Source organism: Homo sapiens, chromosome 7 (assembly GCF_000001405.40).
Source record: "Homo sapiens chromosome 7, GRCh38.p14 Primary Assembly".
NCBI classification, from domain to species: Eukaryota; Metazoa; Chordata; class Mammalia; order Primates; family Hominidae; genus Homo; species Homo sapiens.
The window spans coordinates 120,781,571-120,783,256 of record NC_000007.14 but is presented as its reverse complement, the minus strand read 5'-3'; the positions used below and the strand labels follow the sequence as shown (position 1 = coordinate 120,783,256).

At 49.1% G+C, this 1,686-nt stretch overlaps 1 annotated feature.

Moving 5' to 3' along the window:
* Window positions 239–756: an enhancer, noted in NCBI's record as "NANOG hESC enhancer chr7:120422555-120423072 (GRCh37/hg19 assembly coordinates)". NCBI's record gives its function as "activates a minimal SCP1, AML or CMV promoter by ChIP-STARR-seq in naive and primed H9 embryonic stem cells {active_cell/tissue: H9 hESC(naive and primed)}" and the evidence as "EXISTENCE:reporter gene assay evidence [ECO:0000049][PMID:30033119]".

Here is a 1,686-nt window from a genome sequence, read left to right as displayed (position 1 = left end):
CACACTCCTCAGTACCTGCAGAATAAAGTCTTCCACTACCTGATTATTTTTCCAAATCTATCTCCCTTAATACTTTCCCAAATATCACTAGAAACCAGCCAGCGGGACCAATCCTAGTCCACTCATTGCCTCTAACATCCCATATATCCTGTATCTCTTTGATTTTGCTCTCACCATGGTTCTTCGCTGGCATAACCTCATCTCCACAATTTCAGCTTGTACTCAACTTTGAAGTCCCAGCTCAGCAGCCACCTATTACATAAAGTTTCTCCTGACTACTCTAGTCCACAACAATTCATTCTTCTTGGAGCTCAGCATTAGTTACCATAACATCTAGTTTGATGTTTGTATTTTCAATTTATATATATATAGTCAGGCCTCTGAGCCTAAGCTAAGCCATCATATCCCCTGTGACCTGCATGTACACATCCAGATGGCCGGTTCCTGCCTTAACTGATGACATTCCACCACAAAAGAAGTGAAAATGGCCTGTTCCTGCCTTAACTGATGACATTATCTTGTGAAATTCCTTCTCCTGGCTCATCCTGGCTCAAAAGCTCCCCTGCTGAGCACCTTGTGACCCCCATTCCTGCCCGCCAGAGAAAAACCCCCTTTTTCCTTTACCTACCCAAATCCTATAAAACGGCCCCACCCCTATCTCCCTTAGCTGACTCTCTTTTCGGACTCAGCTCGCCTGTACCCAGGTGAAATAAACAGCCTTGTTGCTCACACAAAGCCTATTTGGTGGTCTCTTCACACAGACGCGCATGAAATTTGGTGCCGTGAATCGGGTCAGGGGACCTCCCTTGGGAGATCAATTCCCTGTCCTCCTGCTCTTTGCTCCATGAAAAAGATCCACCTACGACCTCGGGTCCTCAGACCCACCAACCCAAGGAACATCTCACCAATTGTAAATCGGGTAAGCAGCCTCTTCTTACTCTCTTCTCCAACTTCTGTCACTATCCCTCAACCACTTTCTCCTTTCAATCTTGGCTCCACCCTTCAATCTCTCCCTTCTCTTCATTTCAGTTCCTTTCCTTTTCTGATAGAGACAGGAGACGCATTTTATCCGTGGACCCAAAACTCCGGCGCCAGTCATGGACTCAGGAAGACAGTCTTACCTTGGTGTTTAATCACGGGGGGACGCCTGCCTGATTATTCACCCACATTTCAGAGGTGTCTGACCATGCGGGGACGCCTGCCTTGGTCCTTCACCCTTAGTGGCAAGTACCGCTTTTCTGTGGGGCAAGAATCCCCCAACCTCTTCTCTCCGTGTCTGTACCCCTTCTCCACTTTTCTAGGGGGCAAGAACCCCCCAACCCCTTCTCCTTCACCCTTAGCGGCAAGTACTGCTTTTCTAGGGGGCAAGCACCCCCCAACTCCTTCTCTCCGTGTCTCTACCCCTTCTCTGCTTTTCTGGGGGCAAGAACCCCCCAATCCTTTATTTCCAAGTCCTGACCTCTTATCTCTGTGCCCTGATTCCTTATTTCCATGCCCCGACCTCTTATCTCTGCACCCCAACCCCTTATTTCCATGCCCCAACCCCTTTCCCACTTTTCTAGGGGGCAAGAACCACCCCCCCGACCCCTTCTTTCCATGTCTCTACTCTCTCTTTTCTCTAGGCTTGCCTCCTTCACTAGGGGCAAGATTCCGCCCTCCATTCTCCCTTCTTCTCCCTTAGCCTGT